This window comes from Homo sapiens, chromosome 13 (assembly GCF_000001405.40).
Source record: "Homo sapiens chromosome 13, GRCh38.p14 Primary Assembly".
NCBI lineage: Eukaryota > Metazoa > Chordata > Mammalia > Primates > Hominidae > Homo > Homo sapiens.
The window spans coordinates 35,684,585-35,708,913 of record NC_000013.11 but is presented as its reverse complement, the minus strand read 5'-3'; the positions used below and the strand labels follow the sequence as shown (position 1 = coordinate 35,708,913).

General features: G+C 46.4%; 3 long non-coding RNA genes across 4 annotated transcripts, besides 2 other annotated features; 2 read left to right on the top strand and 1 right to left on the bottom strand.

Annotated features, from left to right (window-relative positions):
• Positions 1-9,657: 9,657 nt before the first annotated feature.
• On the bottom strand, positions 9,658-11,390 carry LINC00445 (long intergenic non-protein coding RNA 445). 2 transcript variants are annotated; one of them, NR_132115.1, is made up of 2 exons: positions 11,063-11,187; positions 9,658-10,175 (listed from the first exon to the last, which is right to left on the bottom strand). It is a non-coding gene; the product is annotated as a long intergenic non-protein coding RNA 445 (long non-coding RNA). The 2 variants fall into 2 exon arrangements; NR_132116.1 differs by lacking the exon at positions 11,063-11,187 and adding an exon at positions 11,278-11,390 and having other exon boundaries at positions 9,913-10,175.
• Positions 11,241-11,836: an enhancer, noted in NCBI's record as "H3K4me1 hESC enhancer chr13:36271215-36271810 (GRCh37/hg19 assembly coordinates)". NCBI's record gives its function as "activates a minimal SCP1, AML or CMV promoter by ChIP-STARR-seq in naive H9 embryonic stem cells {active_cell/tissue: H9 hESC(naive)}" and the evidence as "EXISTENCE:reporter gene assay evidence [ECO:0000049][PMID:30033119]".
• Positions 11,460-13,503, top strand: LOC124903224 (uncharacterized). Its single transcript, XR_007063891.1, has 2 exons — positions 11,460-11,522; positions 13,097-13,503. It is a non-coding gene; the product is annotated as an uncharacterized LOC124903224 (long non-coding RNA).
• Positions 11,837-12,433: an enhancer, noted in NCBI's record as "H3K4me1 hESC enhancer chr13:36270618-36271214 (GRCh37/hg19 assembly coordinates)". NCBI's record gives its function as "activates a minimal SCP1, AML or CMV promoter by ChIP-STARR-seq in naive H9 embryonic stem cells {active_cell/tissue: H9 hESC(naive)}" and the evidence as "EXISTENCE:reporter gene assay evidence [ECO:0000049][PMID:30033119]".
• Positions 13,504-14,239: 736 nt separating the features above from the next.
• On the top strand, positions 14,240-17,560 carry LOC105370161 (uncharacterized). The gene is made up of 2 exons (XR_941852.2): positions 14,240-14,621; positions 17,355-17,560. It is a non-coding gene; the product is annotated as an uncharacterized LOC105370161 (long non-coding RNA).
• The last annotated feature ends 6,769 nt before the right edge of the window (positions 17,561-24,329 follow it).

Below are 24,329 nucleotides of genomic sequence, written 5' to 3'. Positions count from 1 at the left end.
ACATGGGCAGTGTGGGAGCTTTCTCCTTGGAGAGCTCTTCAGTTTCACCTCCACCACTGAGAATAATTCAGCCCCATCAGTAATACTGGTCCTCAACCCATTCTCCAGATGGGATGTTCCATTGATCTTGAAGTGTCCCTGGTGCTCGTGCCTCTGATAACCTTTGTGCTCTTTCACTGCCATAGAAACCACAGGGCTCCTCTTCCACAGACTATGAGGGCCATGAAGGATCATTTCATGACCCAGCTTGGGCTCCCTAAGAAGTAGGGTTGCCAGATAAAATGTGAGATGCCCAGTTAAATTTAAATTTCCCAAAAACAGGACATAATTTTTAGTATACTGTCTTGTGTAGTATTTGGAGCATACTCATACCACAAAGTTATTCATTGTTTATCTGAAATTCAAATTTAACTGGGCACCTTGCATTTTTATGCACTAAGTCTAAGAACTGTAGAAAGAATCAGACTCCAAGATGCAGCTTGCATACAGGAAGTTTACTGGGGAATGCTCTAAGGGTCAACACCTGTCGGGGAGGGAAGGCAGCTGAACCAAGCAGAGAGAAGTTGAACTGTGACGAAGTTGCAACAAAGGCCTCAGCCAACCCCACGCAGGGGCTCCTGAGCTGGGGCAACCCTTCAGAGTCATCTCACATTGAGGGAGGTGGTTGGGGCTTTATACCTGTATTAGTCCATTCTTACGCTACTAAAAAAAGACATACCTGAGGCTGGGTAATTTATAAAGGAAAGAGGTTTAATTGACTCACAGTTCAGCATGGTTGGGGAGACCTCAGGAAACTTAAAATCATGGTGGAAGGGGAAGCAAACATGCCTTTCTTCACATGGCAGCAGCAAGGAGAAGTGCTGAGCAAAAGGTGGGCAAGAGCCCCTTATAAAACCATCAGACCTCGTGAGAACTCACTCACAATCACAAGAACAGCAGCATGGGGTAACCGCCCCCATGATTCAATGACCTCCCCGTGGGTCCCTCCCATGACACTTGGGGATTATGGGAATTACAGTTCAAGATGAGATGTGGGTAGGGACACAGCCAAATCATATCAATACTCGACACCGACCATCACTGGGGGTGGGTGGACCCTGGAAGGGGGTGTGACCTTGGGCAAGGTGGTGCTCTTCAGGGAGGGTGAATCCAGAAGTGAGAAGTTCCACTAAGAGCTGCCAGTCACCAGCACCTCCAGAACACACAAGCTATACCCCGCCAGGTAGAAACCAGGTGCCACTGACACATCCCACATGATCAAAGGTTTCAAAGCATATCAGACAGAATCCAGTGGCAGGAGAATCTGAATTGTCATAAGGACAAAGGGCAAGAGGCCAAAGTAAAAAGAAACTGGACTCCAGTAAACTGGATGATAGCCGTGATGAAAACAATGATTTTGTTTCAGCAAAATTCCATTATCAGCCTCTTGCTGGGTATAAAAGTTGGACACCAGTGAGTAGGTTTCATAGGAGTTGAAGGGCCTGAAGCGCTTGTACTGAATTTAACCCTTTTCCCCTTTAACACTGGGGACCAGAAGCGGTGGCTCACCTGAGACCTATAATTCCAGCACTTTGGGAGGCTGTAAGGGGACAGATCACCTGAGGTCAGAAGTTTGAGACCAGCCTGGCCAACATGGTGAAACCCCATCTTTACTAAAAACACAAAAATTGGCCAGGCGTGGTGGTGGGTGCCTGTAGTCCTAGCTACTTGGGAGGCTGAGACAGGAGAATTGCTTGAACCTGGGAGGCAGAGATTGCAGTAAGCCAAGATGGCACCACTGCACTTCTGCCTGGGTGAGCGAGTGAGACTCCGTCTCAAAAACAAAACAAAACAAAACAAACAAACAAAAAAACTGGGACTCCCAGAGAATCCTTTGCCTTTAGAAGAGGTGCCTGCAGAGTTCACATTTGGGAGGCGAGGCTCCAAGACACCGCAGGCCAGGCAGCAGTGTTGCCTCTCTGAAGCAGGGTCCCCACTGAGGCAACATAGGTCCGTCCCCACCCCTTGTGCCTGTCCCCTGGCCCTTCCTCTCTTTCTCCTCCCTTCCTCTGTGGGCCCACCCCTTCCCACGCATCACTCTCCCGTCCTCTTCCTTTGCTCCCATGCCCCAGGGTGGGGGCACTATCTGTCTTTGGACACACTGGACACTGTTTTGGCTGGCCTTAGCTGAGGCCTCGAATGTGGGCCCCCCCATCGGGTGTCCTGGAATGCCCCCTTCACTTCCTAAACCCCCGCAGGCTCTGGCAAACCCAGCCACTCACACCCACAGCCACACCCAGATCTTGTCATCACCCGCTGCTCCTCCTACACCTTCCCCCCAACCCGCTCCATCCTCCCACTTGCTGGCCAGAGCCCCGTTATTCCAGCTCCCTCCCTGGCTCCCCTGGGTTTGCTTCCCGGGTCCCTCCCTAGACCACAAGTCAGCCCTTCAGCTGCTCTCTTACTCGAACTTCCTTCCCTCTAGCTCTTCCTCCCACCCCACCCACCCCTCTTCTCTCTCCTGCAGCCTGCTGGGAGCTGTGGGGTCAGGCATCGGTGATGTCTCTGGAAGCCATTCAGCAATGAAGGGATCCAAGGCTGTGGCCTGCCACTCCCGCTCCCTGCAGGTGACTTCCCCTCCTCCTCACATGGAAACATGGAGGACTTCAAAGGAGGTGGCCCTGGCTTCCCGCCCCTGCCCCTCCCCCTTCAACCCCTTCTGCACCTAGCTCACCCTGCCCTTCCCCTCGAGTTTCACAGGAAGGTGGGTCCCTCCCTGTCCAATGTCCCTGCCATCCAGGCCCTGAACCCTTTCTCCTCCTGTGTCTTTAGCCTCCTGCTGATCATGATTCCATCCATTACCAGGACACTTCTTTTCTACTGGCACAGTCTTGTCTTGTCTTTTTTCTTTTATTTTATTTTATTTTTTTTTTTTTGAGACAGAGTCTTGCTCTTGTCGCCCAGGCCGGAGAGCAATGGCATGATCTTGCCTCACTGCAACCTCCACGCTTCCTGAGTTTAAGTGATTCTCCTGCCTCAGCCTCCCAAGTGGCTGGGATTACAGGCACACACCACCACACCCGGCTAATTTTTATATTTTTAGTAGAGACGGGGTTTTGCCACGTTGGCCAGGCTGGTCTTGAACTCCTGACCTCAGGTGATCTGCCTGCCTCGGCCTCCCAAAATGCTGGGATTACAGGCTTGAGCCACCATGCCCGGCCTGGCCCAGTCTTTTCTGTTGTGTGAACATACTCGAGACCCTCCATGCCCTTTAAAGAATTAATCAGTTGATCCTCTGCTTCCACCAAGGTATCCCCAGGTCTCTGTCCTGTCGGCATTCAAGTTACCTCAGGGAATAAGTTTCCCTTCCACCTACTCCACCTCTCCATCATCCCATTTCAGTCTCTGAAATAGGCCTCCCGCCCCCTAACTTCCCCGCCCCACCTAGGTCCTGGCCCATGTCAGCCTCTATCTTGGGGACTCTTGCCGCTCTTCTTGGCTCTGTTGACCATTCTCTCCTTAAAAGTCTTCTCAGCCTCTTCCTCAGGCTTCAAGGTGTCACCACTGGTGTTGCCATAGGTTCTTTCGCTCCCTGCACTCTTCCTTCCTCCCTCTACTCATGCCCATGCTCCCCATGGCTTACTCCTCCCCACAGAGGCCCATGACTCCCAAAGTGTCACCATCTCCCCAACCCCACCCTATCCTCTCTGGGGATCTCAAGCCCAGGTCTGCAGCTGCCTCTTAGACCTCCCACCTGAGTGCCCTGGGGGCTCCTCTTCAGCTCAGCACTGCCAAACCCACAGATCTTCTCTACACGGATCCCCAGCCCAAGTGTGTGCACCTCCTTCTACCAATGGCTCATAGCCAGAAATCTTGGAGGCATATTGAATTCTTTCCTTTTTCTTCTATATCCAGTCTGGATAGAAAACCAATATAACAGACAGCTGGCAGCCTCTCAAGGACAAACAAAGGTTAAACTTTGAACTTCTTAGACAATGTTCTAATATTATGATTTGCATCTGAGCACTAGCAATGTTTGTTCATTCCTTTACCCCTTCCCTCACTAGCTCACCCAGGCCCAAGCAAGAGCTGAGTGTCTTCGAAGATCAGTGCTGTGTCTTCGAGATCCACAGTGTGGGCCCCTGCCCTCAGGGTCCTCCGGGCCAGCCAGAGAGATTCAGAAACAGGGAGATGACTGAGTGCATGGACCCATGCAAGCACTTGCACAGGACACAGACAAGGGAGATGCCTGTGCCAGCTCAGGGAGGAGGGGACATTTCTCCAAGGAGAGTAAAAGCTGTCTTGGCCAAGACATCATGCTCAACAGCGAAATCCAAAAGTCCAGAAGAGTGTTTGACATGTGCTAGGAGTGCTGTAAATATTTGATGAATCAGTGAGTAAATGTGTGTGTGTTTGTTATAAACCATAGAATAAAATAAGAACCCATGGGTCCATGGTAATATAAATAAACAATTGGATAAATAAATAAATGGGGGCAGGGGAAGGACAGGTCTTCCTTCCAGTAGAATTCCAGCTACTAAATGTGGAAGGAATGATGGAAACAGGAAATTACCATTCAGCAAACCCAACAGTAATCATTGTTTCAGGCAGGAATCAGCAATGGATGCTAAGATTAATGCATGCAATGTGATGAGAGACAATATTTATGTATTTTCAGTGGACTTCCCTACAAAGCACTTATTAATTACAAAGGAAGAAATAGTAACGTGACAGTGAAGAAACCTGGCAGATGACCCTTTATCCAAATGATCAAAGTCAGCAAATAAAGGGACATGGTGACCCCCAGAGGATATGATACCTTCAAAGGACACATCACTTCTGTGGCATTCTTTTTTATTTTTTAATTTTTAACACCTCTATTGAGGTATAATTCACCTATCATATAATTCCAGAACTTGAAGATACGATTCAATGATTTTTGTAAATTTACAAATTTATGTATCACTAGAATCTAATTTTAGAATATTTTCATTATCTGAAAAAGAAGCTCTGTGCCCTCTGTGCCCTCCTCACTTCCCACCCTCACCTCAGTGCTAGGCAACCTGTAATCTATTTTCTGTCTCTCTAAATTTGCCAATTCTGGATATTTCATATTCAGGGAATCATACAATACGTAGTCTTTTGTGGCTAGCTATTTTCACTTAGCATAATATTTCAAGGTTTATTCATGGCATAGCATTGTATCTGGATTTTATTTCTTTTCATTGCTCTGTAATATTCCATCATATGAATAGATCACATTTTGCTTATCCATTTATCAGTTGATAGGCCTTTGTTTTCACTTTTTGTCTATTATGAATAATGCTGCTATGGACATTCACATACCAGTTTCATGTACATGTACATTTTTATTTATCTTGGATATATATACACATATGTATCTTTTATCCATCTTTCTATATACATGCATACGTATGTATATATAAACCACACATACACACACACACACACGCACACACACACACACCTCTAGGAGTGGGAGTGCTGAGTCACATAATAATTCTGAGTTTAACGTTTTCCAGAGTAACTATGTTATTTTACATTCCCACCAGCAATGAATAAGGGTTGCAATTTCTCTACATCCTTGACAACACTTGCTACTCTCTGTCTTTTTTATTTAAGCCATTTCTGGTGGGTGTGAAGTGATATTGTGGTTTTGATTTGCATTTCCCTAATGACTAATGATGTTGCAAATTCTTTCATAATCGTATTGGCCATTTGTATATTTTCTTTGGAGAAAGGTCTATTCAGATTCTTTGTTCATTTTTAAATTGGGTTACTTGTCTTTTTATTTTTGAGTCGTAAGAGTTATTTACATATTCCAAATGCAAGTTTCTTATCATATCTATGATATGCAAATATGTTCTTCCACTCTGTAGATTGCCTTTTTATTTTCTTGATACTATCATTTGTAGCATAAAAACTTTTAATTTTGATGTGGTCTAGTTTATCTGTTTTCTATTGTGACTTACACATTTGGTGCCAGATATAAAGAACCATTGCCTAATTCAAGGTCACGAAGATTTACGCCTATGTTTTTTTTCAAGTAGTTTATAGTTTTAGCTCTTACATTTAGGTCTGTGATCCAATCGGGGGCTAATTTTGAATTTGAATCCCCTTTTCTGTCTCTTATAGACACTTATGATAACATGTAGGATCCACCCAGACAATCCAGGATAATCTCCCCATCCCAATATCCTTAATGTAATCACATCTGTAAAGTCCCTTTTGCCCTATAAGATGACATTCCCAGGCTCTGGGGATTGGGGCATGGATATATTGTGAGGCCACTATTCAGCCAATGGCAATGACCTTGGTGAAAATAGTTTACCTGCGGCTAGGGTGCAGCAGCAGAACTCAGAGGGCTGAGATGTGCCTGGGACCTGGGTTGGGTGACTCATTTGAGTCTTGGCTATGAGGGAGATGTAGGGGAGGGAAACACCAACACTCAAGAATGGGCTTGTATTAGTCAGGGTTCTCCAGAGAAACAGAACCATTAGGTTCCCCTCTCTCTCTCCCTCCCCCTCCCTCTCAGGGGTACCGAAAAATCTCAAGATCTATATAGTTCAAGGGCCAAAGAAGCAGGAGAGCCAATGGTGTAAACCTCAGTCCAAATCTGAAGGCATAAGCAGACCAATGTCCCAGCCTGAAGACCACCAGGCAGAGAGAGGAACATCTCCTTCCTTAGGACTTGGTTCTATTCAGGCCTTCAACAGACTGGATGAGGCCCACCCACATTGGGGAGAGCATCTGCTTTAGTCATTCCACCAATTCAATGTTCATCCCATCCAGAAACACTCCCACAAATACACTCAGAATGGTGTCTGACCAGATATCAGGGCAAGTTGACATAAAATTAACCACCACAGAGCTAAAACCAAACCAAGCCAAACAAAACAGGTATCTGACAGGAAGAGGAAGAATGGCGAGTCAGAAAAGGCAGAGGGGAACAGGAGAGGATGGTGTCAGGTAGCTCAACAGAGGGGCAGATTCAACAAGGGACAGTTCAGCATCATTAGGTGTCACCACGAAGACAAGAAATGGACTGAAAAGCTCCCTCTGCCTTGGGCATGGGGCTTAGACTTTGCCAGGGTGTGGGAGAGGGAAGCTGACGTACAGATGTCTGATATGGGAACGTGAGCTGCAGATGCAGAAATAGGGATATAGAATATTATTTTTTGTTGTTTTTGTTTTTGTTTTGTTTTTTGAGACAGAGTCTCATTCTTTCATCCAGGCTGGAGTGCAGTGGTGCAGTCTTGGCTCACTGCAAACTCTGCCTCCCGGGTTCAAGGGATTCTCCTGCCTCAGCCTCCCGAGTAGCTGGGAGTACAGGCAGGAACCACCACACCAGCTAATTTTTGCATTTTTTAGTAGAGACAGAGTTTTATCATGTCCGCCAGGCTGGTCTCAAACTCCTGATGTCAGGTGATCTGCCCGCCTCAGCTTCCCAAAGTGCTGGGATTACAGGCATGAGCAACCGTGCCCAGCCTTTTTGTTGTATTTTTTTTTGTAGAGATGGGGATCTCCCTATGATGTCCAGGCTGGTCTTGAACTCCTGGCCTAAGGAGATGCTCCTGCCTTGGCCTCGCAAAGGACAGGGATTACAGGCATGATCCACTGAGCCCAGATGGATATAGATTACTTCTTAGAAGCTTGGCTAAAATGGAAAATAGAAGCAAAAAGCACAGTCTGTGGGTGAGGATGAAGGGCCCCAGACTTTTAGGGGCCAAAACCAAAAGTCCCAAAGTCTGTGAGAGAGCAGAGCAGCCTCAGCCCTCCGAGCTAATAAAGACATGACAGAAAAGTTGTGGTCCTCAATTTTTCAACTATAACTGAAGGGGCAGCCTCTATCTTCCGTGCTTAGATCCGCAAAGCTATGTATCCAGAGCATAACATGACCAAGAAAATTCCTGCACATAACCCCAAATATTAGAAAATTAGAAGCATTTGCAAGCCCAGCCCTCAAAGTTGGGATGAGATGACTTCCTTTACTCTGGTCCTTGTGTGAGTTAGTGAGTCAGGGAAGCGCTATGTTGAGAATGACATCCCATAGCTTGCCCCTGTACGGACAAAACACCTCTCTTTCTCCTTCTGAACATCTTTCTCTTCTTTTTCTTGGCAAGGGCACGGCATTTGTTTGGAGAAACATGGGCTAGTCTGGAGAAATCATAATAATTTGATCTTGCCTTTTCTGGGGTTAGTTTTCATCCTGCCTTGTAAAAAATGAAGCCACTCTCCCAGTGTTTACTTTTATCCTCCTTTCTCAGTCTTCCTTACTAGGTTCGTTTCTCTCCCCTCTTCTCTAGGTGCTCTTCCCTGGGCTGCAATGGTTTGTGCTATACTTTTATGTTCTTCTGCCTCTTTTTTCTCCACTCGCTCCACTCCAGCCCCTTCTGCCCACCCACCCTGCCTTCCTCTGTTCTCTCTCCTTTTGATCAGGAGAAGCTGCTCCCTGGGAATCTGAGACCCTCTTCTAAGCAAGAACTAAAGACACCACAGTGAGGCCGCCGGAGTCCTCATCTCCCTCTGGAGTGGAAGGCAGGGGGCTAAGAAGAGCAGCAACCCCAGTCCAGCCCGGCTTGCACCCGACACAGAAAGGGCGACAACCCTCATCAGCCCAGAGGCTGCAGAATCACAGAAACACATTTGAGTCTGCCTTTGTGAAAGAAAATGATCCTCGTGCAGGCAGGTGGTACTATTTTGGAGAACATTTTTATGTGCAATTTAGAGTGCACATTCTACACACAGCTCAGACAGAAATAATCAGTTTAATGTGTGTCTGCACTGTCACGCGGTCAAGCTTTAGGTGAGAGCAGATTTACACACTGAAATCAAAAGGAAATAGCAGGAGCCGTCTTCTGCTACATTCCATGACAATAAATGGTCACGCGATGGAGGGCTGCCAACCCTACTCTCCTCTCCCTTTATTCCTTCCCAGAAAGTGCTTGCGTTTGAAAGAAAATTAGTTTCCAAGATGCCTGAGTGCATCTGTTAAATATTGATTGTTATTAACAGGGGATACATGTAAACAAAGGCTACATAAACAGAAAGATGCCTGGCAGCGAGGAGCAAGTATGCTTCTTGTCAGGCGGTTTTCCTTAAAACAAAGCGTAAGGAAGTTTATAGGAGTTCTTGAGTAGGTGTTTTGGTTCAGGAAGATGTCCTGCTTCTCGATGTCAGCTACAGACCGTCTCAGTCAAACCAAGGAGCTTCACGTTTACAGCACTGGGCATTTGTCACTGTGTGTTGTCATTAAGGAAAAAGGGGTTTGCTTGCAAAGGGGCTGGTATAGTAGAGAAATAACACTGAAATAACATGGTTCCCAGCATCCTTTTCAGAAAGTTCACCCTCCAAATGAAAGAATTGAAGATGATTTTTTAAATGCAAACACCATTGAAAGCATGCGAGTGCCAATACATCAGGCAGTTAGAAGCCCCTAAGTCAAGCCAGAGGCAGATCTACATACAGGGTAATATTCAAAATATGCATGTGTCACCCTTTGGCTCTCTGAAATAATGAATCAGTGTGGACTTTGCAAAAGCAGCCGGGCCGAGGGTGCCGGATCGCCACGGTCAAAGACTGCAGAGCTGGAGAGAAGAAAGTTTCAGATGGAAGGGGAGCATTTTCCCTCTGAAATGAAATAATTGTGATACAGGATTTGATTTTTTTTAAGAAAAACAATCTTCTTCCTGCTGTGATGAATTTATTCTGGAGGTTTGAAAGGAAACATGTCCCCCCTGAGAGCATGAGGACGATGAGTCTGGAGGGTGAAGTCTGCGATTTCAGTACACGTGTTCTCATTTATCAAGGGGCGGTGCTCGGGTGTGAAGGGGGAGAATACCAAGGGTGAAAAGATTCAAGGTGATCAAACTATTTTTCCATTTGTAGCAGAAAAAAAAGAAAGAAAGGAAATAAAAGAGGGAAGGAAAATCATTTCATTATGTGGCAACCAAACACAACCAGGGGTAGCAACCAGAGGTAGCAAGCAAGTAGCAACTTTGTTCTTCAGAGCAGTTCACTCTAGGGTGTCCTGAGTTTTCCAGGGTGCAGTCTGTGACTGTGGAATTTGAAAACAGCAGGAGCACAAGAACAGAAGTTGCATGGATGTCTAGAGTTGTCATCTCTCGAATGCCCTCTGCGGCGAAGATCCCTCCTAGCGCCACCTGGATGAATCACTTCCAGGGGAAAGTGGAAAAAGAAAACTATTACATTGGACATTAATTTCCATGCTAGGCATATTATATGCATTTCTTTCTCTCTGAATAAAGTCTGCAAAATAGGTATGATTTTCCCCATTCTAGAGATAAGCTGAAAGTTTCAATTATCTTATGCGCCCTGTTCAAAGAGGCCCAGCTGGCAGTGGAGGTGAGATGGAGTGAGCTAGCAGTGGAGGTGAGATGGAGTGAGCTAGCAGTGGAGGTGAATTGGAGTGGGGCCTGTCTGCCATCAGCACCAAGTCTTGTTTAATTATTCCACTCTGCCTTCCCAAGATGTCCCTGACATGTTAGGTGGAGTTCTGAAGGTCCGTTTAGCAACACAGGTTAAGGCCTAAAGGATCTCCCTCCCTCCATCGCTTAAATGCTATTTTTATGTATTTATTTATTGTTGAGACAGTGCCTCACTCTGTCACCCAGGCTGGAGTATAGTGGCGTGATCATAGCAAGTGAGCAGCCTCAATCTCCTGGACTAAAGCCATCCTCTAGCCTCAGCCTCCTGAGTAGCTGGGAGTGCAGGCATGTACCACCGTGCCCAGGTAATATTTTATTTTATTTTTTTTTTGTAGAGATGGGAGTCTTGCTATGTTTCCCAGGCTGGTCTTGAATTCCTGGTCTCAAGCAATCCTCCCATCTCAAAATCCCAAAGTGCTGAGATTATAGGTGTGAGCCACCGCACCCAGCTTTAAATGCTATTAAACAAGGGAAATCAGTAGGTTGGGTAGATGTACTCAAAGGGCAGGAATGAGAACAACACACTGAGACTCATTTGGGGAACAGGAGCTGTGCCTTCAAGTCACTGTGGGGTAAGGCAGAATGGAGCGAGTCCTAAGGGCCCCCTAACGCACCCAGTATGTGATATGTGATAGAGAGAACGGTTACTCATCACCACTGGAGATTAACAAGGTCTCATCTGCTCGTCTGGTCGCTTGGCTATGCTGTGACACCTGACACTGGCTGATGATCCGAGGCTTTACCAGCTTTAGAACACACCTATGTGTGAAAGCCTTGGGCTCTGAACCTGATCCACTCCCCGGGGGCCCTTCAAAGGGTTAACACTGACCTTCCCCGTCCAGACCCTTACCATGGGGCCACAGCCTTATCTAAGGAACTTGGTCCCACGCCCTCCACCCTCTGCCCTCCATGAGCCTTTCTCTCAGGCTCCTCCACAGAGGGACACTCATAAAATTCCTGTTGGTCATCACCACATTCCAGAATTCCTCCGTGGTCACAGACTGGGCCTCACCTTGACCCTGAGTGCTGGGCTGCAGAGAGTTGAAATCCATCCCCAGGTTCCCCGTAGTTCAGGTGAGAGAGCGGGATGGAGCTGTCCCAAGCCCAGGCCTCTGCAGTTGTTTGAAACCTGAGCCCGTGCTTTTCTTTGAAGTTTAAATGTGGACCTATTGTTTTTTCCTGATAATAATAAACAGGGTCAGGAGAGAGGAAGGCAGATGAGGAAAGAGGAGGAGGGCAGGCAGCAGTCTTGTCAAGTAAAATTACCCCAACTCTGCCTTTGAAGGGGCGCAGCCTTGGTTCTGCGGTCGGCATGAGAGTGAGGGGACTGGCCAGGCAGGGTGGGATTTGCAAAGAAATCAAGGGTCCTGAAATGTGGTCACCGAGGGAAAGGGGATACGCAGCCGTCCAATAGGAGGACGGGCCATGGTCCTGCCGGACATGCCAGGGCAGCCTGGGCTCTGGCTGCAAATGTGACCTTCCAGTCCCTCTCATTGCCTATTCACTGCCCCCAGGAGGTGTCCTCCGCCTCCAGTGAGTGACTCCAAACCATGAGTTTGTTTGGGCTAAAACCCTTCCCTCCCCTTAAAGTGGCAGAAACAAATGTTTGGAAACAAAGGTGAATTGAGAGTGACAGCTCGTGACCTGGCTCTGGTGCATGTTGAGCCAGTGTCCAAGCGGCCACCGGACACTGTGCCATCAGGCCAGAGTTGATTTCCTGCAGACTGTGACTCTGAGAAGCAGCCCAAACCGCCCACCTCTGTTCAGAGGAGACAGGCTCTCCCCACAGGGTGAGCGTTTGTGTTGCCTGAGAATCCATGAGCCCCGTGGCACTGCTCCTAGCACAGGAAAAGCAGACAGAATGTGTGCGGGGTGAGAGCCCGCAGCAAGGTGGAAGCCCTTTCCTCAGCCCCAGGCTTCAGCAGAAGGCTCAGCAGTCCAGCAGTCTCAGTTTCCCACATTAAAAACATGGGAGTGGGCCAGGTGTGGTGGCTCACGCCTGTAATCCCAGCACTTTGGGAGGCTGAGGTGGGAGGATCACTTGAGGTCAGGAGTTCCTGGCCAACATGATGAAACCCCGTCTCTACTAAATACAAAAATTAGCCAGGTATGATGGTGGGCGCCTGTAATCCCAGCTACTCGGGAGGCTGAGGCACAAGAATCACTTGAACCTAGGAAGCGGAGGTTGCAGTAAGCTGAGATCGTGCCACTGCGTGGCGGCCTGGGCGACAGAGCAAGACTCCATCTCAAAAACAAAAACCAAAACCATGGGAGGGAGTGAGAGGCAGACCCAGGTTCAAGGTTGCAGGCCCCGTCCCTTACCATGCAAGTGACCTGCAGTGGTTCTCCTTTGAAGTAGACTCCAGTAGTACTAGCTGGCTCTGGAGGCTGATGCGAGGATTCAGTGAGGCAACATATGCAACCACTTGAACAGTCCATCGCCTTCCAATTATTAGCCGTCACGATTCAGCTAAAAATCAGCCAAGGAGATCTGTAGAGGGGCCAGTGTTGCCCTGAGCCAGTTGATGGAAAGTCTGGGATTTGAACCCTTGTCTCTCTGGGTAGGCAGCTTTCAGGATGGCTCTGATCATCCCGGCCTCCTGGAATTCACACCCTGGAAAAATCCCTCCCCCATATTGTATCCATAGATCCAGCAGAAGTGACCATACGTCCTGTCCACAACTAGGTGGCAAGAGCCTGTGGCTTTCATCTCCGGCTCTCCAGCTTGGTCATACAACCCTCGGCCGGGGAGCCGGCCACCATGCCCGAGGACAGGCAGGCCACCCACGGGGAGGCCCAGGTGGTGAGGAGCCAAGGTCTCCGCATTGCCAGCGAGGAACCGAGGCCAGGCAGCAGCTGTGAGCGAGCTGGAAGCAGAGCCCTGGTGTGGCAGCCAGGCTCAGCCAACAGCCCGCCTGGAACCCAGCTGAGCCTCCGGTTCCCATCCCACAGAAACCGTGAGAATAAACTGCGAGGTTTGGGGAAATTGGTTACATAGTCACAGACAAATACGTCTGTCTTTACATCACACCCTTCAACACGATTTTTCATTTTATTTGCTCTTTCAGCGAATATTTACTGAGTATCTGCAATCCGCGCCAGGCCTCGAGTTCAGGGATCCGCAGAAGGCAGGGGCCCAGGAGTGGGAGGGGTGGGGGCGTTGGGAATGGGGGATGGGGTGGGTTTGCAGGCGCCAGCCCGGGAGGGGCCAGAGAGGGAACCAGAAGACTTCGGGGAACTAAAGCCTAAAACAGGAGTGGAGAAGGGCGTGGGTACATAGGGCGTGGAGAGAGAAGAAGCGGAGAGGCATGGGGGAGATTCAGAGCCATTAGGAGGGGTGGGTGGGGGACTGGTGGGCTGAGTGTGAGCAGACAAAGGGCTGCTGCAGCTCTCAGCTCTCACCAACTGTGTGCAGCCATCGGGCCCCACAGCTTCTCTGAGCACCTATGGACTGGACGCCCCGGAGCTGATTCTCATCAGGTTGCCAGGAGATGGACCCTGGGAAGAGGGACCGTTCGTTTCCTGGAACTGCCATAAGAACGTACCACAGACTGCGGGGGGGGGGGGGGGGGGGGCGGCAGAACTACAGAAATGTATTGTCTCATGATTCTGGAGGCTGAAAGTTCAAGGTCAACGTGGGGTCAGGGTTGGTTTCTTCCAGGCCTTCTCCCAGCCTCTGGGGGTTTCCCCACGAGCTTTGCGTCCCTCTGCCTCTGCATCACCCACTCTCTGCCTTCATCTGCATATGGCCTTCATCTGCACCTGTCTCTGTGTCCACATTTCCCCTTTATAAGCACACCGGTCACAGTGGACTAGGCCCATTCTGATGACTTCACCTAAACTCGATCACCTCTCTAAAGACCTTATCTGCAAATAAGGTCCTATTCTCAGGTCCTGGGGGTTAGGACTCTAGCATAGCTTTTGGAGTGGGAGGGGCTGGGGACACAGTTCTACCCGTAGCAGGGACGTGGCAGGGGTAAGCTGAGGGAAGTCTTTTACGATCACCCAGAAGTTCATGAATTACTACAGTCTCCAGATGGCTTTTACAACGTGTCCCGGGCCGTTAAGGAGGCAGAAATGAAGCGATTCCGCTGGTGTCAGAGGAAGAAGCCACCCTATTCTCCCAGTGTCAGTGACAGCAAAAACGTGGCCCATCTTTCCCTGGAGCCATAGGTAGGGTTGTCTTCAGTAGTGTATCAGGTGGCTCAGGCTGCCATAACCCACAAGCCAAATACCACAAACTCGGTGGCAGGCGTGACAGAAACATATCTCCTCACAGTTCTGGAGGCCAGAAGTCCAAGGTGAAGGTGTCTGCAGGGTCAGTGTTTCATGAGGCGCCTCTCCTTGGCTCGCAGACACCTGCCTTCCCACTGGGTCCTCACGTGGCCTTTCATCGTTTACGGGCCCCTGATATCTCTTCCTCTTCTTACAAGGACATCGGCCATCGGTCATACTGGAATAAGGTCTTACCCTAATGACCTCATTTAACTCAATTTCTTCCTTAAAGCCCTTATTTCCAAACAGTTACATTCTGAGATACTGGAGCTTGGGACTTCAAAATATTAATTTTGGGAAGGGGGATGCAATTCAGCCAATACCAAGTAGCTACAGAGAAAGTCAGTGTTCTTACTTATTGAGGATCAGCTAAGTTGGTCTTTAAGTTGAGCAGAAGAGTGGATTTCCCCCAGGAGGCTGTGGGGAGACTTCCAGATGAAGGTGTCTTAAATCCATGCCAGCCTGGAAGTCTCCAGGCCTTTACAGGCCCTGCGCAGCACCTCAGTGTTCCTTGCCTGCAGGCTCTCCCCTCGTCCCCAGGTCTGTGGGGATAGCTCTGGGCAGGCTGTTCTGTCTCCCCTGTCATGGTGGAGTGGCTGCCGACCCCTTTGGGGCCAAGCAGATTGGACTTCTGTTTTGACTATTCGTTTTCTCACGTTTTCCCTTTAAATGTAGACTGTCTTCTCTCCCCCTTTCTTATTTTTGTTTCTAACCCCCGTGTTCCTCTTCGATGTAATTTTAAAGTGAAAACACATGGCTGCAAACCCAGGTCTCTCCATTTACTCAGCTGCACCTACTTATTCAATTTAAACTGGAAGGCCAGTTTACAAACTTTCAAAAATAAGTCCTGGGCCAATGAGGAGAACTGTATAAACACAGGTCTAATTTCATTTCTACTTGTTGCATTTTTTTTCTCTCTCTCTTGCAAATGACCTTCCTAGTTTAAAAGCCAGAACATATGTGCGTACACACATATGCACACACACATTTTCTTTCTGGAAGTTTCTTGATTTCTAATTCTGTGACAAAATAAACAGGACTTGAACGGAAAAGGAGAATTTTGAAGAGATGGTTTCCAGCAAACTGTCAATTAACATTAGTGACATCATTCAACACAGTATCAGTTTAAAGGGCTTTAGGACAGAGTGTTTGGTTATTAGAAAAATGGCTAACTGAGTGAGTTCTGCTTTTCTCCAAGAAAGACACACATACACTAGTTTGTCTAACTGTTGATCCTAATCCTCTTTCACTTTAGAAAGGAAAAGGAATGCAGCTAGCTTCAGAAAATAGGGTGAAGAACATATTTCTGGCAGCCCAGCTGTTCATATTTTGGTACAAAGGAACAAATATGAGAACATTAGCTAACCTGAAAAGCCCTGGAAATAAATTCAACTTGCTTTATTTTATCCTACAATAACCAATACTATAGCCGTATATATTTGACCCAACTCAGTCACAGCATTTTGACTTCACATTTCTGGCACACACAGAATCATCCAGAAGAGTCATTGAACTATCAGGTATTAATTTCTTGCTATTCATAGGGCCCAGGACTACACATTTTCATGTATCATATATGACCCTCCCAAAATGCTTGTTCAGGAAACTGCCCAACATCACCTTAGCAGGTAAGGGGTAGAAGATTCAAAACCACATCTTGTGAAGACAAAGGCAGTGCTCTTCCTCTCAACTGGGAGGTTCGAACAAGTCTGAGGTCTTGTCACATTTTCAGATGTCACAAATGAACCTCCATAAAGCAATACTTTTCTTATGAACTGAATCGCGTGTCCCTGGAATTTATACTTTGAAGCCCTACCCCCTGGCATTGCAGCTGTATTTGGAGGGAGGGCCTTTAGAGAGATAATCAAGATTAAATGAGGTCAAAAGAGTGGAGCCCTAATAAGATAGGACTGTGGCCTTATAAGCAGAGGAAGAGAGACCAGGGACCTCCCTCCTTACTCCCTTCCTCTCCCTTCTCCTCCCCTCTCACACAGGAAGAGGCCACTTGAGAACACAATGAGAAGGTGCCTTGGCCAGGCGCGGTGGCTCCCACCTGTGATCCCGGAATTTTGGGAGGCCAAGGTGGGTGGCTCACTTGAGGTCAGGAGTTCGACACCAGCCTGGGCAATGTGATAAAACCTCATCGCTACTAAAAATACAAAAATTAGCCGAGCGTGGTGACGCATGCCTGTAGTCCCAGCTACTTGGGAGGCTGAGGCAGGAGAATCACTTGAACCCGGGAGGTGGAGGTTGCAGTGAGCCAAGATCATACCACTGCACTCCAGTCTGGGCAACAGAGAGAGACTTCGTCTCAAGAAAATAAATAAAATAAAATGACAAAGAAAAAAAAAAGAAAATATAAAAGAAGGTGCCTTCTGCCACCCAAGGAGAGAGTCCTCACTAGAAACCAACCCTGACAGCACCTTGACCTTGGACTTCCAGTCTCTAGAACTGTGAGAAATAAATTCTGTTGTTTAAGCCACCCATCTGTGATATTTTGTTATGGCAGCCAAGCAGACTAATACAATTGTGCTGGGGGATCTTGGCTGAGGGCTGCTTTCCTAGTTTTATATCCCCTTGAAAGAACGAGACTTTTGCCCTTAATAGCATCCTATGTTTTACTCTGTGCAGGAGCCTTTATGACAAAACCTGGAGAAGTTCTTGAACTTGGGACTTTATGGAAGAAGTGAAACGTTAGATGACTGGACCCATATTGGAAATGAAAACCATAATGGCCTGAAAAAAAAACCAAAAACACTACTGTGAAACACAGGGAAATTATAAAATTAACTTCTATTTTCTACTTGATTAAAAAACTAGTGAAAACCTTCAAAGAGGTATGACTTAGGGTGTTACTCTGATGAAACCTAAGTTCTGCCCAACCTCAGCCTCTTATAAGGCTGCCCCCCAACCCCCTTGGCCCTGTCCTATTTTTCATATTGCAACAGAATTTTGTATATCTGAATTTTTAAAAAAGAAATTAGTCTGTAGATGTGCAATTGTTGGGATTCATTTTCAGGACATCCTGTTATCAGTGTTTCTAAAGAGACTTCGTCCTTGCTAAATTTTCTCATGAACATTTGAGGTTTGTTGTTGATGATCTCCTTCTCCATCGGCTGGACAGTTCTTCCATCATCCCAGTTGGTTCTCTGCTTCACCTCCCCAGCTCTTCAGCAGAAGAGCGATTGCTAATGGAATCCACAGGGAAACGAATCCCCTGTTTGAGCCAGAGTCCTCCCTGTGTGATATTATTTCACATCCCTCCAGCTGCGGGCATCCAGGGGTGTTATTTAAAAAACAAAACAAAAACCATTTTGTGCCTGTTCTTATATGGGCTACCCCGTAATGAAGTTCAGAAAGATAGCTGTTCATTATTAGTCCTGACTGCATTCCAAACAGCTGCAGAAAATGTAAGCCGGCTCTGCCAACACTTACTCATCGAGTGCTTTCCCCCTTCCTCCAAGGACTTCCTTTGGTACACAGGGGCCTCTGTCCTCTAGTTCTTGGTTTAGTAACAACCAGAAACAAAAACAAGCCTAAGCAGGTTAGGAGGTAACACCTCAGGTACAACATGGAAGAAGCTTTTCATGAGTTTACTACTATACATTTTTTTTTTTTTTTTTTTTTTTTTTTTTTGCCTAAGCAAAACTTATGTATAATAAATGGCAAAAGTGGCCAGGCACAGTGGCTCATGCCTGTAATCCCAACACTTTGGGAGCCGAGGTAGGAGGATCGCTTGAGGCCAGGAGTTGGAGACCCGCCTGTGCCACATAGTGAGACCCCATCTCTACAAAAAAAGAAAAAATATATTAGCTGGGTGTGGTGGTGTGTGCCTGTCATCCCAACTGCTCTGGAGGCTGAGGCAAGAGGATCACTTGAGCCCAAGATTTCGAGGCTGTAGTGAGCTATGCTTGTGCTACTGCACTCCAGCCTGAGTGACAGAGTGAGACCCTGTCGAAAGAAAGAAAAAGAAAAATAAATAAATAAATAAATAAATAAATAAATCCTGAAACTATTCCTTCTTTTACTAATAAACAATGTGTAATTGGGGATCTAGGGGATGGTGGTATGGTTTTGGGAATGGATATTGTGGAAGTAGATTCCTCATTGACAATCTGAAGTCTCATTGATCCCAGGACAACTGCGCAGCCTGAGACTTGTAGTAGTCAGGGTTCTCTAGAGGGACAGAACTAACAGGAGATATATATATGTTCTTTTTGTTTTTTTTTTTTTTTTGAGACAGAGTCTCACTCTGTCACCCAGGCTGGAGTGCAGTGGCGCCATCTCGGCTTACTGCAACCTCTTCCTCCTGGGTTCAAGCGATTCTCCTGCCTCAGCCTCCTGACTAGTGGGGATTACAGGCACATGCCACCACGCCCAGGTAATTTTTGTATTTTTGGTAAAGACAGGGTTTCACCATGTTGGCTAGGCTGGCCTCGATATCCTGACCTAAAGTGCTGGGATTACAGGCTTGAGCCACTGCACTCAGCCGAGGATAGACGTATACATGAAAGGGAGCTTCTTAAGGAGAACTGACTCACACGATCACAAGGTAAAGTCCCACAGTAGGCCGTTAGCAAGCTGAGGAGCAAGGAAGCCAGTGGTGGATCAGTCCGAGTCCCAAAACCTCAGAAGTAGGGAAGCCTTCAATCTGTGGCCAAAGGCCCCAGGAGCCCCTGGTAAATCACTGTTATAAATACAAGAGTCCAAAAGCTGAAGCACTTGGAGTCTGATGTTTGAGGGCTTCCTAGCATCCAGCACGGGAGAAAGATGGAGGCTGGAAGACTCAGCAAGTCTGCTCTTTCATCTTCTTGTGCCTGCTTTATCCTAGCCACGCTGGCAGCTGATTAGATGGTGCCCACACAGATTGAGGTTGGGTCTGCCTCTCCCACTCCACTGACTCAAATGTTAATCTCCTTTGGCAACACCCTCACAGACACACCCAGGAACAATACTTTGCATCCTTCAGTACAGTCAAGTTGACACAATATTAACATCACAGACCTGAGCCCTTTTCCTCATTGGATCAACCACCTTAAAATGAACAAAGTCCCAAGAAAAGATATTTTGTATTTGAACTCTTTAGAGCCTTTCTTTTACTTTTTTAAAATGAGTAAAGTAAAAACAAAATCTAATGCCATTCTTGCTATCAGCCCAGGGGAGAAATTGCATATTTTATTTTCTGAAGTTTGCTTTGGTTAGTTTTGAAATCAGCCTGGTCTTTTGAGATGGTGTATTCTTCTTTTTTCTAATATTTACTCTTTTATATTAATTTTATATGCATTCTTTTATATTTGTTTTAAATTCATTCTTTTATATTCATTTTAAATTTACTTTTATATTAATTCTCTTTTCTTGTTTTCCTTTCCTTAAAAATAACTGATATAGAAGTTAAGAAAGAATAACTTAGCAGATACCAAGGGTATGAGAGTCCTCTGTAAGGCTTTTATTTTATTTTTTTTTAATAAAAAGCAGCCCCAAATCATTTTCTAACTAAGAACAGCCTGCGAGCTAGGAGCTTGTGTGGGTGAATGTCAATGGGAACTAAGGATTAGACATGTTCAAGATGGCAGCTCCATCTTCTCTTCTCTGCCAGCCACCTGTACTGTAAAGGAGCAGACAAGATGGCACTGATCAACTAGAAAGCCCATTTGCATAAGAAGATTAGGGTGGGGCGACCAGCCTTCCCCATACACTATGTAGACATCATACTTGATCAAACCAATCTGTGAGCCCTGTGTAAATCAGATGCCACCTTCTCCAGACTGCCTATAAAATCTGATACAGTCCACCACCTCCCGCCTTTTCGGACATCTCTCTCTTTCGCAAGGAGCTGCTCTCCTCTCTCCTTTCTTCTGTTAAATTTTCCACTCCTTAACTCACCCACGTGTGTCTGTGTCCTGAATTCTTTCTCGGAGTACGACAACGAACCGCAGGGTATATACTCCGGACAGCGTAGCCACTTCATAACCAGTAGAATTTCAGAATATGAAAATACATATTAAAAATGTACAGCATATTAAACATAATTTTAATACATTTTGATATTTGTAGTTCTCATATTTGTAGTATTTAGGAGTCTAATTCCGCTGTTCATTACTTGTACTGATTCTTATTCCTAGTAGAATGTTTTCTTTCTCTCTCTCTCTTTCACTCTCTCTCTCTCTCTCTCTCCCAAGAGCTCATTTTCCATGCAAATTTAATCACGGAAAATTACTGAAGACTAAGGTCCATTTTTCCAAGGACAATTTGCATTTATTTTTTTCCAGGTGCCTAGGGAAGTAGCAAACTAGATCCACTTTAAATGGAAGCCTTGGCTTGAGTCTTTCAACATCACGCAGATCATGGGCTGGGATGTGATCATGAATTTTCAGTAGAGACTGTTATCCTTCTCCACACAAAGCCAAAGAGAAAAAAATTTGTTTCTTTTTTTTTTTTTTTTTTTCCTAGTTCAGTCTTACACCTTAAGAATAGACTTTTAGGAATTCTGGCTTTATTGTGTGTTGAGGGAGTGGGTGGGTGCGGGGGAGGTGGGTGGGCTCTGTTCCAACTCTTTAGTTTGATGGGTCTCGGCCTTATCTTTATTTCTCCACAGGGCTGTCTAAAGGGGATTGGCAAATAGCCTTAGGGTAGTTTGAAGAATTTAGCTTTCGGAATTCACACCTGAGCTTTGATACTGGCCTCTTGTGTGCTCCCTTACATTCTCATGGGCTCCAACATTTTTAGGTGTTTTGTAATGGGATGGTTTGAGAATAGCGAAGCCTCCATATTGCTAAAATAGAATCTAAATGGTTTGCTCTGATTCTTGCTAAATTGTTTATGTCTCTTTACTTCTTGTATTATATGCCCTTCTTTATAAGCTTAAAATGCAGTCTACTCTGTTTTCCCAATATCCCCATGTCAGGATCCCACATGCCCATTCATTTACTCCGATAGTTTTTCCTTCTAAACTTGTACCCGTTTTCTCCTTAGAACTTTGGGTCTGGATTTCTCATTACCTTATTTTATATGAGGAACAATTGGATTTCATTCCCAAACACTGACCACTTCCATATTTCCTTTCACCTTATGGAGAAATCTGCCAGAGATAATGCAACAATTATTTAAATTTTTCTTTGGTCTCTCTGTGAACCAAATATTAATGCCCTTATAAAAATCTGCACTACACTTAACAAAAATCAGTGTAGACACTCACAGTCTTTTGATTTTGTACATAGATGTGTGAAGTTCTGTGAAACAAGGATTTTTAAAAAAATCTTCATTTACAATTTATAATTAAGTGGTCTGGGCTTGCTTTTAGAAGAACTTATTATAGCCCCCTTGTCAAATCCAATAGGAAGATGAGTATTCTCCTGTTAAGTAATGAATTGTGAGGCTTTTGTTGTCAAGGTCCCTCTAATAAGCAACAAATGCTCTCCAAAAATAATTGGGGCTCCTGAAGCCAGAAGGATTGTTCATTTTTTCCAGTACCAATTTGTTTTGCTTCCAGGGGCAGAACTGAGGGTATGTTTGGAAATGACAATGAGGTAGAATTTTTTTTCTATACAAGAAAAGCAAGGCCAGGCACAGTGGCTCATGCCTGTAATCCTGGCACTTTGGGAAACCGAGGCCGAGGTGGGCGGATCACTTGAACCCAGGAGTTTGAGACCAGCCTGGGCAACATGGTGAAACCCTGTCTGTACAAAAAATAAAAAAATTAGCCAGGGGTGGTGGTGTGTGCCTGTGGTCCCAGCTAATCAGGAGGCTGAGGTGGGACATTTGCTCGAGCCCAGGAGATTGAGGCTGCAGTGAGCCGAGATTGCACCACTGCCCTCCAGCCTGGCTGACAGAGTAAGACCCTGTTTCTTACCAAAAATTTTTAAAAAAATAAAGGACAAAAACAAGCAAAACATTTGAATCTGTCCAACAAAGGGGCAAGGTCTGTCTGTATTCTCTATCTCTTAAAAGTCCCAGAAAGGAGATTTCTTCTGGGAAGCCTGTAAGTGCATGTTAGTGATGGAGGAAGAGAACCCTCTATAACCATAAAGATGCAGTTTGTTTCCATCTTTGTTACAATATATTAGTGAAATTTAAGAGTTAGGAAACAACTGCCTACTTCAACGTCGGCAGCTGCATTCTCTGACATTGATTTTTGAGTTCCTTAAGTGCTAATTCATACATTTAGGTTCAGGGGACTCAGCAGAGACCCTGCCGCTGGGAATCAGTCGTGCCTAGGGTGCTGCTAATGTTCTGAGGGGTTGAAGTGGATACTAAGGATTGTCTGTTTTTAGAATTGTTCAGACATCTCTTCTAGAGTGTATGTTGCAGTCCATTAAGAGTTAGGTGGGGGCTGGGTGCGGCGGCTCACACTTGGAACCTCAGCACTTTGGGAGGCCCAGGCGGGGGGGGTCAGCCGAGGTCATGAGTTCGAAACCAGCCTGGCCAACATGGTGAAACCCCATCTCTACTAAAAATACAAGAAAATTAGCCAGGCGGGCATGGTACGGGTGCCTGCAATCCCAGCTACTTAGGAGGCTGAGGCAGGAGAATGGCGTGAACCCGGCAGGTGGAGCTTGCAGTGAGTCAAGATTTCGCCACTGCACTCCAGCCTGGGTGACAGAGCGAGACGCCGTATCAAAAAAAAAAAAAAAAAGAGAGTTAGGTGGGGCTGGGTATAGGGGGTTCACTCCTGTAATCCCAGCACTTTCAGAGACACAGGATAGAGGATTGCTTGAGGCTGAGTTCAAGACCAGCCTAGGCAACATAGGGAGACCTTGTCTATACAAGAAAAAAAAAATTAGCCATGGTGGTGCATGCCTGTAGTCCCAGCTATTCTGGAGGCTGAGGCTGGGAGGATTGCTTGAGCCCAGGAGGTCGAGGCTGCAGTGAGCCAAGATTGGGCTACTCCACTCCAGCCTGAATGACAGAGCAAGACCCTATTGAGAGGTGAAGCCAGCTGGACTTCTGGGTTGGGTGAGGACTTGGAGAACTTTTCTGTCTTACAAGAGGATTATAAAATGCACCAATCAGCACTCTGTAGCTAGGATTGTAAAATGCACCAATTAGTGCTCTGTGGCTAGCTAGAGGTTTGTAAGATTGACCAATCAGCGCTCTGTAAAATGGACCAATCAATCAGCAGGACGTGGGCAGGGACAAATAAGGGAATAAAAGTTGGCCACCCCAGCCAGCCGCAGCAATCTGGGTCCCCTTCCACTCTATGGAAACTTTGTCCTTTTGCTGTTAACAATAAATCTTGCCGCTGAGCATTCTTTGGGTCCGTGCCACCTTTGAGAGCTATAACACTCACCTCGAAGGTCCGCTGCTTTATTCTTGAAGTCAGTGAGACCATGAACCCACTGGAAGGAACAAACTCCGGACACACTATCTCAAAAAAAAAAAAAGAAAAGAAAAAAAAAAGTAAAAGTGAGGTGGGTCCTGAACTGCCTCCTGAGGAGCACCCTGGCACTGCTTGCAGCATTTCCTGTGTGGCTGGAGCACCAACATCAAAGTCACAGCACCCAAAGGTGCGAGGTCACCTCTTCTCCACATTCACATCCTTTTCTTCTCTAACTTCCCATCCTTCACATCTCAGCTTCTGGTCATCACCCCTTCCAGGAAGCCCACCGC